Consider the following 15,803-nt stretch of genomic DNA (forward strand, 5'->3'; position numbering starts at 1 on the left):
AGCTTCCTCGAATGAGCATGCAATTGACAACACGGGGCCTACACTCTAGCATGGTGGCTACTGGCTGGAGCTCCCTTAGAGGCTCAGTGTGGTCCCCTGTTGTCGTTCACTGCGTTACCTGATTGGCCTTGGCAGTCATTTGAGTTTGTGACCCTGATGTAGCCTATCCCCCAACTATATACATGGACAACCCAAGGCCCAGAGGATAGAGCCCTTTCCCAAGGCCACCCTGGGAGTCCGTGGGGCAAAGCTGGTGCTCTTTCACCAACATTTTGCTGCTTCCTTTTGCAAGCAATAGGAGGGAGCCTAAGAGAAGGGAAGCGTCTCCATTGAGTCCCAAAGAAATGTCTCAATACTCTCCTCTGAGGGAAAGGACATGGCAGTGATTCTCAAGCAGAAGCTTCGCTCCCTGGAGCTCTGCTCCCGGCTTCTGGCCTTGGTGGACCAAAGCTCTCACCTCCTCTGATGTCCTCCCAAGCTTGGGGAGAAAGGGAGAACCTTGTCCAGCCTCAGGAATCTTGCTGTGCTATCTTCCTAGTGACGGAAAATGTTTATCCATTCACTATCTGTGTAGTGTACAATTCTGGGAGGGACACAGTGCAGATGGACTCCCAAATCTACTGATTTCCTGCTCCTTGTCAGTGCCCTGTGCTAGCCTTGGGGGATGGGGTGGGGAGTGAGGCAGTGCCGGAGCCTGTCTTCCCAGCCAGAGAGCAAGGCTGCAGCGTGGGCCCCTCATACAGTCATTTTACCTCTCAGGAAACTCCCCCAGCCCCTGTGGATCTTTCCTACCTTAGGAAAAGACAAACACAGGTTTGGATAGGATTAGAACATGGAAAGGTCTTAAGAAGGGCCCCTTGATGAGGTCCTGGTGCTGTTCAGCCCATCTTTCTCTATGGACACCACTCAGTGGGACACCAGAGGCGGGGTGGGGTTGGCTAAAACAAGATCCAGCCCAAGCAGGATCTGATCCTCCCTCAACCCTGCCAAAGTTGACCCACCTCTCCCTTCAGTAATTCCTAGCCCTCTGCTCTTTCCCTCAGGAGTTCTCCACCTCCAAGTGAAGCCAGGAGAGCAAAGGTCACTCTGGTTTCCAAGTGGTTTGCCCAGCTTTTCGGCTTTTCACTAAGATGAGGACTGGTCTTTGGTAAAAATGACTCCCTTTCTGACTGCTTATCAAGGGTGGGCTCTAGGCTGGACCCTCACAACACCCCGCGAGGTGTGGGCTGTCATTACTCCCATCTGCAAGAGAATTGAGGTTCAGCCTGGCTAAGTGACTCACCCAAGGTCACAAAGTTGTTTTTTTGTTTTGTTTTGTTTTGTTTTGAGACGGAGTTTCGCTCTTGTTGCCCAGACTGGAGTGCAATGGCGCGATCTCAGCTCACTTCAACCTCCGTCTCCCAGGTTCAAGTGATTCTCCTGCCTCAGCCTCTCTAGTAGGTGGGATTACAGGCATATGCCACCACGCCTGGCTAATTTTGTATTTTTAGTAGAGACAGTGTTTCTCCATGTTGGTCAGGCTGGTCTCGATCTCCCGACCTCAGGTGATCCACCTGCCTCGGCCTCCCAAAGTGCTGGGATTACAGGCATGAGCCACCACGCCTGGCCATTCAAGGTCACAAAGTTAGTAAGAAGCTGTGCAGCCAAGGATTCTGACCAGATTAGTTTGACCCAGAGACTAAAGTGTTAACCATTATGCTTTACTCCCTCCAGTGTCCACTCTGGCCTCCTCCGAGGCTGCAGGGCGAAAGAGGGGGCTCTATAGCACACTCAGGTTCTTTGAGTTGCTGGACTATCCCTTAAGACTCTTTTCTTTTTAAATATCAGCAAGGCTGGGATGGTGGCTCACGCCTGTAATCTCAACACTTTGGGAGGCCAAGGTGGGCAGATCACCTGAGGTCGGGAGATCGAGACCAGCCTGACCAACATGGAGAAACCCTGTCTCTACTCAAAATACAAAATTAGCTGGGCATGGTGGCGCATGCCTGTAATCCCAGCTACTCAGGAGGCTGGGACAGGAGAATCGCTTGAACCTGGGAGGTGGAGGTTGCGGTGAGCCGAGATCGCGCCATTGCACTCCAACCTGGGCAACAAGAGCAAAACTGTCTCAAAAAAAAATAAAAAAAAAAATATATCAGCAAAACTAGAACTAGGAGAGCTTTGCTTTTTATTTTAAATCTGAATCAACTGAAAAATCAAATCTGCTTTTCACACCTTGGCTCTTCATGCCCAAGTAGCTGTCTGCTGTGGGGACTGTTCACCCTCCCCATGTCTGTTTCCTCCGTCACTGCTGCTGCACTGTAACAGCTAGGCCATCAGCAATATCAGGAGGTAGAGAGGCAGAAGGAGATTGTCTATCTGTGTAGTGTATGCTTCCAGGAGGGACACAGTGCTGATGGACCCCAAAATCCAAGCATAACTGTAGTTTAGGTCCACTCCACTGTCAAAGATTAAGATCAGAGCTACAGAAATGATCTGCGCAAATATAGATGTCATGGTCCCCTCAAAAGTCTTTTTGGTTCCAGGCCAGCGGATCTCCCCCATGGTGCTACCGAAGATGGAGGCCACAGTATCACCCACACCCACAGCCAGGACACCGGCATAGGGGACGAGGGCCCTGGCTCCTCCCAGGCTACCCTTCTGTGTGCAGGGTCTGGGGATCAGCCAGATGGGAAGAGACATGCCCAGGAGCAGGTAGATGTGTGTCAGAATGAGTGGTCCACTGTCTCGTTCATCCAGAAAAAGGGACAGGAAGCTCCGTAGAGTGTGACCCAAAGGCTTGATGCGGAAGTAGCGCACATACTCCAGGAAGATGAAGACCGCCAGGCATACAGTGGCGGCTACATAGAGCAGTGGCCGGTCAAAGATGATACCTGGGATGTAGGTGGCTACCACAATGAGGTGGAAATACTTTCGGGCGATGGTGGGGGCCTGGTGCTTCTTGGACTCGGAAGATGACCGCTTGGCATTCTGGTACAGCACCACCAGGCAGGCCAAGGTGGCCAGCAGAGACCAATAGGCTAGGAGGTAGATGCGGGTGTCTGTCTGGAAGAGAAACTGAAGAAGCCAGAGCAGGGGATTCCTGCGGATGAGCCGGTGCAGCCAGGGTAGGACCACACCAAGGCTCAGCACACAGGTCATGAGGTGGAAGAAGATGGAGGAGGCCCAGGTGCCTGAGTCCATGAAGACAAACAGAGTGCTGAAGAAAATGCCCATGAGTACCATCCCTACTACCACCACCAGCAGGAAGAAGTCCACTGGGTCCCCCTGACTTTCCACCAGTGTCAGAGAGCGCTTGATGAGCTGGTTGAGGACAAAGCTAATGCCACCCAATACCAGCAGTGCCTCACCAGGGGTGAAGCAGCGGGGCAGCAGGTACAGCAGGATCATGTTGAGATAAACGAAGATCAGAAGGACTTCCAGGACTTCGATCACCTCCCCCACGCTCAACGAGTGCTTCATGATATAAATGATAACACCTCCAGCCAAGCCCAAGATGACACAAGTGTTGGTTGGCACTGGGCGAGTGATGCCGAGCGCCAACACTGATGAGAAGAGGGCCACTGCCATGCCAGTGGCTGCCACCACAATGCCAAAACGCTCAAAGAACGGGTTCCCAGCAGTCTGGCACCGCTCCTTCATGACTAGTCCAAGCAAAGGCATGACCATGGAGGCGGGCAATAGGCCACTGTTTGCGGACATTCGGAACTGGAAGACGGCGCTTCCCTGCTGTAGCAGCCGGTCCCACTTGTATTGGACGTAGAAGGCCTGCACTGCGAGGGCCACGGCGCACCACGAGTATCGGTCCCATACGGTTGCGTGGATGCTCAGCACCACTGCAAACACTACTGCCGCCTCTGCCAGCACCGATCCACTCAGCGGAGCCCCAGGCCCCGGGGCCGGAGATGGGCACTCTCGGGTCATATCTCTAGACCTGGGGCTTCACGGAGGCCGGGGCGACTACGGACGCCCTAGACTTCGGGCCCCTCAGCCCCGTCAAGCAGAGGGAGGCACTTTCACCCGGCCAGCAACCTTCTCCCTCCGTTCTCCAGCAGCGAGGAGGGAACTCCACCGCAGGTCACTTCTGCGGCCTGGGAGCTGGCGCCCGGCCACCCCCCACAGCCTCCAACCTACGGCGTAGACGTCGCCACTCTGCAGCCTTCCTCACAGTTACAGCCGCCCCCGCTGCCGGCTCCTCACCTCTTTGGGCCTCGCCATCTTGGCACCGCCCCGCGGCAACGTCACGTGACGAAATCCCCGCCCACGCTCCGGGTCCGGGGGCGAGCGGTCACGTGGGCATGGCGTCTGGGGGCGGGGTTAGGGCGAGCGGGCGCGCGAAGATGGCGGCGGCCGCCGGCGGGCCGTGTGTGAGGTGCGGAGCGGGTCGAATGGACCGGGGTGGCTGTGAAGCGCGGTGTCAAAGCCGAGCGGAAGCGGGGCGGGAATTGGAGGCGGGATGTGGCGACAGTGGCAGGGCCAACCCCGGCTGGATGGACGGGCACCGAGACGGGAGGCGGTTACGTCCAAACGGTCCCCGCGCGCGGGGATCTGAAGAGTCTTCTTCAGGAGGGGGGCCGGCTCTTCACCCCTTCCCTCCGCGCTCGGCCTCCCATCTCCTCACCCAGGGCCCTTTGCCTTCCTCCTCTCTCACCTCCGACGCGTCTCTTGGCGCCCCACCCGCGCTTCCTTCTCCGGCCGTGACGCTCCCTCGAGCCACGGGGAGCTTTGCGGTCTCCTGGGGTACCCCCCACCCACGTCCCTGCTGCAGGCTCCCAGTGTCCTGCCCCGGCGTCGAGTGCGCCCTGCTGGCTCCCCGACCTCTCCCGCGATCTGTTCTTGTTAGGATTTTGTTTCGCGTTGAGCGGAGCCACGCTTGCGGCTTCTGTCCTCTCCGCGCCTCGTATCGTTCTTTTCTTGCACTGAATCAAGTCAGCCAGCATGTCCAAATCCTCCAAGAGATTTCAGGGATTGAACTAGGCTTTAGGGACAAGAAGATGAAATATTATATACGAAAACTACAATTCTGACAAAGTGCTTTCTAGCGTCAGACCCTGGTGGAGCGCTTCCCAGGAGTTATCTCATTCAATTCTCGCAACTCCGAGAGGCGCCTTCTATTTCACAGATGACTCAGAAGTCCGGCTCAGAGCTAGCCAAGTGATAAAGAGAGCCTTCAAGCTGAAGTCTGCGTACCTCCAGTGCTATAACCAGACCACCACGCCTCCTTCTGTCTTCCACATTGCAGCTCGAAGGTCTTCGTTCTTCCCACCACCCTCCCTCAAAGTTAAACATCCCCGTCTCTTATCCTTCCCTGTGCCAGCAGTGTTTTCCCCACTTTTTTTTTTTTTTTTTTTTTTTTTTTTTTTTGAGACGGAGTCTCGCTCTGTCGCCCAGGCTGGAGTGCAATGGCACGATCTCGGCTCACTGCAAGCTCTGTCTCCCGGGTTCATGCCATTCTCCTGCCTCAGCCTCCCAAGTAGCTGGGGATACAGGCACCCGCCACAACGCCTGGCTAATTTTTTGTATTTTCAGTAGAGACAGGGTTTCACTGTGTTAGCCAGGATGGTCTCGATCTTCTGACCTCATGATCCGCCCGCCTCGACCTCCCAAAGTGCTGGGATTACAGGCATGAGCCACCGTGCCCGGCCCTAACAATATTATTATATAACAAGATTACTTTCCAAAAATTTAACAAATCGTTTTGTATATTGAGATTTTTTGCTTTTAGAGAGCAGACAAAATGGCTATGAGGCAGTGTACAAGTTTGTATGATCAGAAAGAGCAAAATTACCTCTGTTCTCTCATTTTGCAGGAGCAGTAGAGAACTGTGGACTATTCTGCTTGGAAGGTCAGCTCTGAGAGAGCTGGTAAGTGGTGGTGTTCTTGAGTGGGTTCTCTGGGTTCTTTGTGTAGCTTTTGTTACCAAAAAAAACCTTTTTTTAAATGTAGGAAGTAAACACATTTATTTATTTAGAGACAGAGTTTCGCTCTTGTTTCCCAGGCTGGAGTGCAATGGCGTGATCTCGGCTCACCGCAACCTCCGCCTCCCAGGTTCAAGCGATTCTCCTGCCTCAGCTTCTCGAGTAGCTGGGATTACAGGCATGCACCACCACGCCCGACTAATTTTGTATTTTTAGTAGAGATGGGGTTTTTCCATTTTGGTCAGGCTGGTCTCCAACTCCCGACCTTAGGTGATCTGCCCTCCTTGGCCTCCCAAATTGCTGTGATTATAGGCGTGAGCCACCACACCTGGCCTATTTATTTATTTTGAGATGGAGTTTCACTCTTGTTACCCAGGCTGGAGTGTAACAGCATGATCCCAGCTCACTGCAACCTCCGCCTCCCGAGTTCAAGCGATTTTCCTGCCACAGCCTCCCGAGTAGCTGAGATTACAGGTGCATGCCACCACACCTGGCTAATTTTTGTATTTTTAGTGGAGACAGGGTTTCACCATGTTGGCCAGGCTGGTGTTGAACTCCTGACCTCAGGTGATCTACTTGCCTTGGCATCTCAAAGTCCTGGGATAACAGGCGTGACGGCCACTTTTTTTTTTTTTTTTTTTTTTTTTGAGGGGGGTGTCTTGCTCCCAGGCTGGAGTGTAAGTAGCTCGATCTTGGCTCACTTCAACCTCTGCCACCTGGGTTCAAGTGATTCTCCTGCCTCAGCCTCCCCAGTAGCTGGGATTAGAGGTGCCCACCACCACGCCCTGCTGATTTTTATATTTTTAGTAGAGACAGGGTTTTGCCATGTTGGCCAGGTCGGTCTTGAACTCCCGACCTCAGGTGATCTGCCTGCCTCAGCCTCCCAAAGTGCTGGGATTACAGGCATGAGCCACCACACCCGGCTACGTTTTTTTGTTGTTGTTGAGACAGAGTCTGGCTCTCGCCCAGGTTGGAGTGCAGTGGCACGATCTTGGCTCACTGCAACCTCTGTCTCCTGGGTTCAAGTGATTCCTGCCTTAGCCTCTCAAGGAGCTGGGGATTACAGATGCATGCCACCACGCCCGGCTAATTTTTGTATTTTTAGTAGAGATGGGGTTTCACCATGTTGGCCAGGCTGGTCTTGAATTCCTGGCCTCAGGTGATCTGCCCACCTCAGTCTCCCAAAGTGCTTGGATTGCAGGCATGAGCCACTGTGCCTGGTATAAACACTTTTTTTTTGTTCCTAAAACTTTATAAACGTGGTCAGATGCAGTGGCTCATGCCTGTAACCCCAGCACTTTGGAAGGCCAAGGCAGAAGGATCAATTGAGTGCACAAGCTCAAGGCCAACCCTGGCAAGATAGCAAGACCCCGTCTCTACAAAAAATTTTTTAAAAAATTAGCCAGGCATGGTGGTGCATGTCTGTAGTCCCAGCTACTTAGGAGTCCAAGGTGGGAGGATTGCTTGATCCTGGGAGGTTGAGGCTGCAGTGAACTCTAGCCTGGGAGACACATCGAGACCCCAGCTCAAAAAAGCAAAAAGCTTTATAAACATTACGCATTCCCTACTTCTTTGCTGAAATGAGACTACCTAGCCTAGCTGCTGAAGTCTTTTAAATCTACCTTTGTATTTCATTGATTCCTTTTATGAAAAGATACCTGTGTTCATTGCTTGGCTGCTGAGAGTAGGGGTGCAAATACCATTCTTCTACCTCAACCTAAGAAAGATTCTTGGCCAGGCATGGTGGCTCACGCCTGTAATCCCAGCACTTTGGGAGGCCGAGGCGGGCGGATCACCTGAGGTCAGGAGTTCGTGACCAGCCTCAACATGGAGAAACCCCGTCTCTACTAAAAATACAAAATTAGCCCGGTGTGGTGGTGCATGCCTGTAATCCCAGCTACTCGGGAGGCTGAGGCAGGAGATTCGCTTGAACCCGGAAGTGGAGGTTGCAGTGAGTCGAGATCGCGCAACTGTACTCCAGCCTGGGTGACAAAGCGAGACTCCATCTCAAAAAAAAAAAAAAAAAAAAGTCAGGCTTGGTGGCATATGCTTGTATTAGTAGTTCCAGCTACTCAGGAGGCTGTGGTGGAAAGATCGCTTAAGCTCAGGATATCAAGCCTGCAGTGAGCCATGATTGCATCACTGCACTCCAGCCTGGGTGACAGAACAGGACCCTGTCTCAAAAAACAACAAAGAAAACTTCACCACAACATCATTTATATTATTAAATAATTACAGTCAGCTTAAGTATATCAAACATTAGAGGAATGGTAAATGAATTATGATCTACCAACTTGATACAAGTATTATGCAGCAACTTGAAAGTATGTTTATCAAGACTTTCATAATAAGGTTAAGTCATTATGTTATAATGTTAAGCAAAGAAAAGAAGGTTACAGAATTCTGTATTCAAAATGATTTCAACTCTGGGGAAAAATGCATATTAAAAACACTCAAAGGAATGTGTAATACTTAGTGTGATTCTGGAATCTGATTTTTTTTTTTTTTTTTTGAGACGGAGTTTCGTGCTTGTTGTCCTGGCTAGAGTGCATTGGTGCAATCTCGGCTCACCACAACCTCTGCCTCCCAGGTTCAAGTGATTCTCCTGCCTCAGCCTCCCGAGTAGCTGGGATTACAGGCATACACCACCACGCCCAGCTAATTTTGTATTTTTTAGTAGAGACAGGGTTTCTCCATGTTGGTCAGGCTGGTCTCCAACTCCCAACCCTAGGGGATCCGCCCGCTTCGGCCTCCCAAAGTGCTAGGATTACAGGCCTGAGCCACCATGCCTGGCCGAGTCTGATTATTAATAAAACTGCATTTGGGCCGGGCGCAGTGGCTCACACCTGTAATCCCTGCACTTTGCTGACATGGGCAGATCACGAGTTCAGGAGTTCAAGACCAGCTTGGACAATATGGTGAAACCCCATCTCTACTAAAAATACAAAAAAAACTGACTGGCATGGTGGCGTGCGCCTGTAGTCCCATCTGCTCAGGAGGCTGAGGTAGGAGAATTGCTTGAACCCAGGAGGCGGAGGTTGCAGTGAGCCAAGATTGCGCCACTGCACTCCATCCTGGGTAACAGAGTGAGACTCCGTCTCAAAAAAAAAAAAAAAAAAGAAAGCACAAAAAACTGCATTTGCGGTCGGGTGCCTTGGCTCACGCCTGTAATCCCAGCACTTTGGGAGGCCAAGGCAGGCAGATCACTTGAGGTGGGGAGTTCGAGATCAGCCTAGCCAACATGGTGAAACTCCATCTCTACTAAAAATACAATAATTAGCTGGGTGTGGTGGCTGGCACCTGTAATTCCAGCTACTCGGGAGGCTGAGGCTCGAGAATCACTTGAACCTGGGAGGCGGAGGTTGCAGTCAGCCAAGTTGGTGCCACTGCACTCCAGCCTGGGTGATAGAGTGAGACTCTGTCTCAAAAAAAAAAAAAAATACTGCATTTGTATAATTACCTTGTTCTTTTCCAGAGTCAGATTGAGGCAGAACTGAATAAACATTGGCGGCGATTGTTAGAGGGGCTTTCTTACTACAAACCTCCCAGGTATGGCAGTTCCGGGTGTCTGGTTAAAGTAATTGTCCTAAGGAAGCTGACATGGATAAAACCATCCTTCTATGTGCTTTGATGATATTGTAGGGTTATGTATACCAGAGATAATACAATTTAGTTTACCAGTGGAAAACAGTAGGGTACATTTGTTTTTTTGTTGACCGAAAGAAAAGGAAATTCCTTCTAGAAATACAGTATTGTAGAATATAATTATGACCTATGTGTGGGGATGAGAATTTATTAAACATTCAACGAATTTTCTAATATTTATTCAGAGTCCACAGTGTCTGTGTGAGTACTAATTGGTGGGAGATAGCAGTGAAGGATGATGCTAACAACTGACACTTGTGTAGTGTTAACTATGTAACAATTAATACTCTAAGCACCTGACTTATCAAAAGTTATTTAATCCCCACAACACCCCTTTGAGATAGTTACTACTTTTATTCTTTGGGTGAATATATAGATCTTTTTATTGGGTAGTGGAAAACATAGTAATAAAATATAAAGTAGTTGCAAATAAAGAGAATGCAGCTTGTAGGGCTGGGCTTATTTGATCTTGATTCCTAGTCCAGATCTCATTCTATTATGCGTTATAGTCTAAGTCACCCTCATTTCCCTTCTACTTTTGTACTGCTTTTGAATGTATTACATCTTTACCTTCCATTTTCATTCTCTTAGGTTAACGATGAACTTTTCCTTGTTATTCATCTGTCTGTTAATTCTTCCCCTGTAATTACCTTAAAGTAAATCCCAGATACCTTGTTATTTTATCTGCAAATACTTGACTATGTATCTAAAATACATGGACTTTTTAAAAAGATAATCTCTATATTATCACATTTAGGTACCCTTATCATTGTTTCCATTTTACCAGTGGGGAAACTGAGGCACAAAGAGGTTAAGCAACTTGTCATGGTCACACAGCTACTAAGTGATAGAACCAGGATTTGACCCTGGTGGTCTCATTCCAGTGTCTGTTCTTTTTTTTTTTTTGAGATGGGGTTTTGCTCTGTCGCCCAGACTGGAGTGCAGTGTCACATCTCAGCTTACTGCAACCTCCACCTCCCGGGTTCAAGTGATTCGCTTGCCTTGGCCTCCCGAGTGGCTGGGATTACAGGTGCCCGCCACCACGCCCAGCTAATTTTTGTATTTTTAGTAGAGATGGGGTTTCACCATGTTGGCCAGGCTGGCCTTGAACTCCTGATCTCAAGTGATCTGCTCACCTCGGCCTCCCAAAGTGCTGAGATTACAGGCGTGAGCCGTCATACCCAGCCTATTGTTTTCTTTACTATCTTTTTTCTGTTCCAGGATCCAACCTAGTTGTCAAGTGCCTGTAGTCTCCTCTTAGCTGTGACAATGTCTTAGTCTTTTTTTTTTGAGATGGAGTCTCGCTTTGTGGCCCAGGCTGGAGTGCAGTGGCACGATCTCGGCTCACTGCAAGCTCTGCCTCCCGGGTTCACGCCATTCTCCTGCCTCAGCCTCCCGAGTAGCTGGGACTACAGGCGCCCGCTGTGACAATGTCTTAGTCTTTTTTTTTTTTTTTTTTTGAGATGGAGTCTCGCTCTGTGGCCCAGGCTGGAGTGCAGTGGCACGATCTCGGCTCACTGCAAGCTCTGCCTCCCGGGTTCACGCCATTCTCCTGCCTCAGCCTCCCGAGTAGCAGGGACTACAGGCGCCCGCCACCACGCCTGGCTAATTTTTTGTATTTTTAGTAGAGACAGGGTTTCACTGTGTTCGCCAGGATGGTCTCAATCTCCTGACCTCATGATCCGCCCGCCTCGGCCTCCCAAAGTGCTGGGATTACAGGCGTGAGCCACCGCGGCCGGTGACAATGTCGACAATGTCTTAGTCTTACCTTGATTTTCATGACCTTGAACAAGTTTGAGGACTGGTCAGTTATTTTGTAGTATGCCCCCAATTTGGGTTTGTCTGATGTTTTCCTTATTATTAGACTGGGGTTGTGAGTTTTTGGGAAAAATACACAGAGGTGAGGTGCTCTTCTTTTTTTTTTTTTTGAGATGGAGTTTCGCTCTTGTTGCCCATGCTCGCGTGCAATGGTGCGATTTCAGCTCACTGCAACCTTTGCCTCCTGGGTTCAAGCAATTCTGTCTCAGCCTCCCGAGTAGCTGGGACTACAGGTGCATGCCACCATGCCTGGCTAATTTTTGTATTTTTAGTAGAGACAGGGTTTCACCATATTGGTCAGGCTGGTCTTGAACTCCTGACCTCAGGTGATCCGCCCGCCTCAGCCTCCCAAAGTGCTGGGATTACAGGCGTGAGCCACCACGCCTGGCCAAGCTACCCTTCTTACCACATCATAGCAGAGAGTACATGCTGTCCACATGAAATCACTGGTAATGTTAATCTTGGTCACTCAGTTAAGGAGGCATTTGCCAAGTTTCTCCTCTGTAAAGTTACTTTTTTCTCTTTTCCTATTTTATTTTTTGGAAGTGAGTACTAAATATAGCCATGTCCAGCTAATTTTTTTCACTTTTGGTGGAGATGAGGGTCTCACTTTGTTGTCTAGGCTGGTCTCAAACTCCTGGCCTCAAGCTACACTCCTGCCTTGGCCTCCCAAAGTGCTGGGATTACAGGCATGAGCCATTGTTCTGGCCCCTCCCTATCCTATTTATTTATTCATTAGTTTATATCAGTATAGACTCAAATATATTTATTTTATTTATCTTATACTTTGTTTATACCTTGTTTCAGCTTTGGCTATTGGGCATTCTTTTAGGTTGGCCTCTGTCCTTTGGGCGTGTCCTTCCTTTTTTCTTTTTTTCTTTTCTTTTTTTTCTATTATGTCATCTCCTACCGAAAGGACTTTGGTTTCTTAAGCCCTTTTGTACTTCTTTTCACTATAAGATGCTTCAAGATTTTCTTGTATTTTCCTTGCCCTGACTCTAGAATCAACCAATTCTCCAAGGAATCCTGTTATTAGAGAATGGTATTATAAAGCAGGATCTGGGTGCTGCATGTACCTCCTGCTGTTGGAGTATTATAAATTCTAGGCCTTCTCGGTGGACAGAGCTATTACAGATAATATATTAATATATGTATGTATGCCACAGACCTGGTTTTAAATTTTAGCAACTGTTTATGAGCTGTGGGATTTTTGGTAAGTTATTTACCCTAAGTGCTGGCAATTCCATTTGTAAAAGGAGAATAGTAATATTTGCCTTTTAGGGCAGTAGTAAGGATCAAAAATAATGTAACTTAATGTGTTTACAAATAACATTGTTATAACTGTAATTTAACCACTTTTTTTTTGTTTTGTTTTGTTAGGCATAACCAGTTCTGCGTTATGAAGTTTGTAGAGGTGAATGGGTGTGTGTGTGTGTGTGTGTGTGTGTGTGCGTGTGTGTGTTTGTGTGTGTGTTTATAGGCATCTGAAGGGCAGAAAATAGTCTGTAGGAAAAATATTTTAAAATATTTTTATTTTAAACTCAGTGGGCTATTGAGAATGAAGAAATGATTCACTGTTCTTTTTGTAGTCCAAGTTCAGCTGAAAAAGTGAAAGCTAATAAAGATGTAGCTTCACCATTGAAGGAACTGGGTTTAAGAATCAGCAAGTTTTTGGTGAGTAAAAATTAGCACTCGCTCAATTTATTACTTGCAGTGTGGATGTGCGTGGTTATATTGCTAGTGATAGTGAAAATTCAGTTTCTTTTTGTTTTGGGGATTAAATTGTTTTATAAATACCCAGGTTGCAACTCTTCTCCCTAAAAGTTACAAGTCAAAGTTGCCTGATCCATTCACTGCATATCATAGGGTTTTCTTCACCAGACATGTGGTGGTCTTTAAGGTGACTAAGTTTGTCATTTTGGAAGCTCACATCATGCCTACTGCTGTATTAATGTGCTTAGTGAATAAGCATCGTTGTTTCTGGCATGTACATTTAATTGTAATAAAAATTGTATGTCAGTGACTGGCTCTTGTCTTCTATTAGAGTCAGAATTGTTATGTTTTATGAATCTTTGAGAAGCATTTTTGTTTATTCAAGTCCTGTGTTCATTGTAGAAGACAAATCTTTAAATTCTCTGCATCCTGTGTGCGATTTCTGAGCTGTTCCTTACTTAAAATCTCTGTGTTTCAGGGTCTTGATGAAGAACAGAGTGTGCAGTTACTCCAGTGTTACCTGCAAGAGGACTACAGGGGTACTCGGGACTCAGTAAAGGTTTGTGGTTTATGTCAGCTCCTTTCTTCTGCCTTTATCCTTTTTCCCTGTTGGTTTTAGATAATGTAGGATTTTGGCACCAATTCTTTTATCGGTGGTAGGTGATCAGGTACCGTCATCTTCAGGGAAGACCTACTAAAGGCTTTAAAAAAAACATGACCTGGGTGCAATGGCTTGTGCCTGTACTCCCAGCTTCTTGGGAGGCTGAGGCAGGAGGATCACTTGAGTCCAGGAGTTTGAGGCTGCAGTGAACTGTGATCGCACTACTGCACTCCAGCCTAGGCAAAAGAGTGAGACCCTATCTCTTTAAAAAGTAAAGAATATATATGCATATAAGCTGAGATCTGTCTTCATACTTGGAGGAGTGGAGAGGTCAAAGACTGACATGTTAATCATAGAATCTTGGGCTATTAGAGGTGATAAGGATTTGGTAGAGTTTCTTTTTTTTTTGAGATGGAGTTTCGCTCTGTCTCCCAGGCTGGAGTGCAATGGCGTGATCTTGGCTCACTGGAAGCTCTGTCTCCCGGGTTCACGCCATTCTCCTGCCTCAGCCTCCCAAGTAGCTGGGACTATAGGCGCCTGCCACCACGCCCGGCTAATTTTTTGTGTTTTTAGTAGAGACAGGATTTCACCGTGTTAGCCAGGATGGTCTCAATCTCCTGACCTCGTGATCCCCCCGCCTCAGCCTCCCAAAGTACTTGGATTACAGGCGTGAGCCACCGCACCCGGCCAGGATTTGGTAGAATTTCTAGCCTGCCCAGCCCCTCATTTTACATAAGAGGATTGAGGCCAGAGGAGAAGGGGAGGGATTTGAGCACAGGTTTGGGTACATTTGGGTAAAAAGTAAGGTGGAAAGTATATGTAGAAACAAATGTGCAATTATAATCTTGAAGGATGAAGTGAAGGTATCTATCTTTTTTTATTACTTGAGTTTTGCCTAAAAGATGGCCTCTTAACTGCTCTGTTTTTCTTTTCAGACAGTACTGCAAGATGAGAGGCAGAGCCAGGCCTTAATCCTGAAGGTCAGTAGTAGTCACCATTTCTATTCTTTGATGTAAAATTGAGTGACAGCTTCTTGACCTCATTTTCCTGAGCATTGCTGGCTTTTGACTCTTTGTTGGGTAAGCATGGAGGTCTTTATGAAGAAGCATATTAACTCATTTATGAAAAGATGCTTTTATCCACTGGACCCAGTAGAGAAGTTTCTCCCAAGGAGATTCTTCAGCTACTGGTGGTGAGAACAAGTTCATGGATATTTTTTCTTTAGGTGTAAGTCCAACAGGATTAATTTGTATTTCTTTATTTCTTTATTCTTCAGTCCCTTTCCAGCAACCTTCTCACTTAGGATCTCGTGTTAAAATGTAATTTGTGACTTCTGAAGAAGTTTCCTATTTTATATTTAGTGAGAATAAGTACATTAGTTACAAGCAATTAGGACCTATATCAGTGGAATTTGTTTTTATGTGTTTGGCCTGCCTGTTGATAGCATTGTGTGCTACATGAATGCTCTGAGAAATCATGCTAGAAAACATTTTTGGAAACTTGTGTATATTGTTAAACAATTAATTCCTTTCATCCTGTATATTCTGGTTTATGAATGTCTTTTCCTTTATTTTGGCCTAATTCAGTATGTTTGCATTTCTGTGATTCCTTATTTATATAAATTGAACTTTTCCATCCACATCTTTAAGTGAAATTATCACTAAATTTAAACTTGAGTTTCCTATGTGCAAAGGTGAGTAACTGATTTTGAATTTTGGGTTCCTCAGATTGCAGATTATTATTATGAAGAAAGAACCTGTATTCTTCGTTGTGTCTTACACCTTCTCACTTACTTCCAAGATGAAAGACACCCCTATAGGGTAAGCTTGTTTAGTCCTCTTGCTTCTCTTTATACTGTATCATCTTAATAATTTTATTAATATTTATTTGAATATTTACCTTTTATTCTAGGTATAATTTACTCTTTTGATTTTTTAAAGGTTGAATATGCAGACTGTGTTGATAAATTGGAGAAGGAACTAGTTTCAAAATACAGACAGCAGTTCGAAGAGCTTTATAAAACTGAAGCACCAACTTGGGAGACACATGGAAATCTCATGGTATGTGGTTACTGTGCTCTCCTGTAACTTTTTTTTTTTAAGATGGAG

At 47.3% G+C, this 15,803-nt stretch overlaps 2 protein-coding genes across 2 annotated transcripts in view, besides 5 other annotated features; one reads left to right on the top strand and one right to left on the bottom strand.

Annotated features, from left to right (window-relative positions):
• On the bottom strand, window positions 2,151-4,224 carry DOLK (dolichol kinase). Its single transcript, NM_014908.4, has one exon. The coding sequence runs from the start codon at window positions 3,922-3,924 to the stop codon at window positions 2,308-2,310; it is 1,617 nt and encodes a 538-aa protein (NP_055723.1). The 5' UTR covers window positions 3,925-4,224; the 3' UTR covers window positions 2,151-2,307.
• Window positions 2,984-3,546: an enhancer, noted in NCBI's record as "H3K27ac-H3K4me1 hESC enhancer chr9:131708642-131709204 (GRCh37/hg19 assembly coordinates)". NCBI's record gives its function as "activates a minimal SCP1, AML or CMV promoter by ChIP-STARR-seq in naive and primed H9 embryonic stem cells {active_cell/tissue: H9 hESC(naive and primed)}" and the evidence as "EXISTENCE:reporter gene assay evidence [ECO:0000049][PMID:30033119]".
• Window positions 3,547-4,108: an enhancer, noted in NCBI's record as "H3K27ac-H3K4me1 hESC enhancer chr9:131709205-131709766 (GRCh37/hg19 assembly coordinates)". NCBI's record gives its function as "activates a minimal SCP1, AML or CMV promoter by ChIP-STARR-seq in naive and primed H9 embryonic stem cells {active_cell/tissue: H9 hESC(naive and primed)}" and the evidence as "EXISTENCE:reporter gene assay evidence [ECO:0000049][PMID:30033119]".
• Window positions 3,970-4,039: an enhancer, noted in NCBI's record as "active region_29096". NCBI's record gives its function as "activates an Ori minimal core promoter by ATAC-STARR-seq in GM12878 lymphoblastoid cells {active_cell/tissue: GM12878}" and the evidence as "EXISTENCE:reporter gene assay evidence [ECO:0000049][PMID:35858748]".
• Window positions 4,109-4,670: an enhancer, noted in NCBI's record as "H3K27ac hESC enhancer chr9:131709767-131710328 (GRCh37/hg19 assembly coordinates)". NCBI's record gives its function as "activates a minimal SCP1, AML or CMV promoter by ChIP-STARR-seq in naive H9 embryonic stem cells {active_cell/tissue: H9 hESC(naive)}" and the evidence as "EXISTENCE:reporter gene assay evidence [ECO:0000049][PMID:30033119]".
• The window catches only part of NUP188 (nucleoporin 188), a 59,398-nt gene continuing 47,914 nt past the window's right edge, over window positions 4,320-15,803 (top strand). Inside the window, exons 1-8 of the mRNA NM_015354.3 lie at window positions 4,320-4,372; window positions 5,810-5,864; window positions 9,394-9,467; window positions 12,971-13,055; window positions 13,573-13,653; window positions 14,631-14,675; window positions 15,423-15,515; window positions 15,636-15,755. Coding sequence (NP_056169.1) covers window positions 4,341-4,372; window positions 5,810-5,864; window positions 9,394-9,467; window positions 12,971-13,055; window positions 13,573-13,653; window positions 14,631-14,675; window positions 15,423-15,515; window positions 15,636-15,755 — 585 coding nt within the window. The 5' untranslated portion in view covers window positions 4,320-4,340. The remainder of the gene's footprint in view (window positions 4,373-5,809; window positions 5,865-9,393; window positions 9,468-12,970; window positions 13,056-13,572; window positions 13,654-14,630; window positions 14,676-15,422; window positions 15,516-15,635; window positions 15,756-15,803) is intronic.
• Window positions 4,390-4,439: an enhancer, noted in NCBI's record as "active region_29097". NCBI's record gives its function as "activates an Ori minimal core promoter by ATAC-STARR-seq in GM12878 lymphoblastoid cells {active_cell/tissue: GM12878}" and the evidence as "EXISTENCE:reporter gene assay evidence [ECO:0000049][PMID:35858748]".

This window comes from Homo sapiens, chromosome 9 (genome assembly GCF_000001405.40).
Source record: "Homo sapiens chromosome 9, GRCh38.p14 Primary Assembly".
Lineage (NCBI taxonomy): Eukaryota > Metazoa > Chordata > Mammalia > Primates > Hominidae > Homo > Homo sapiens.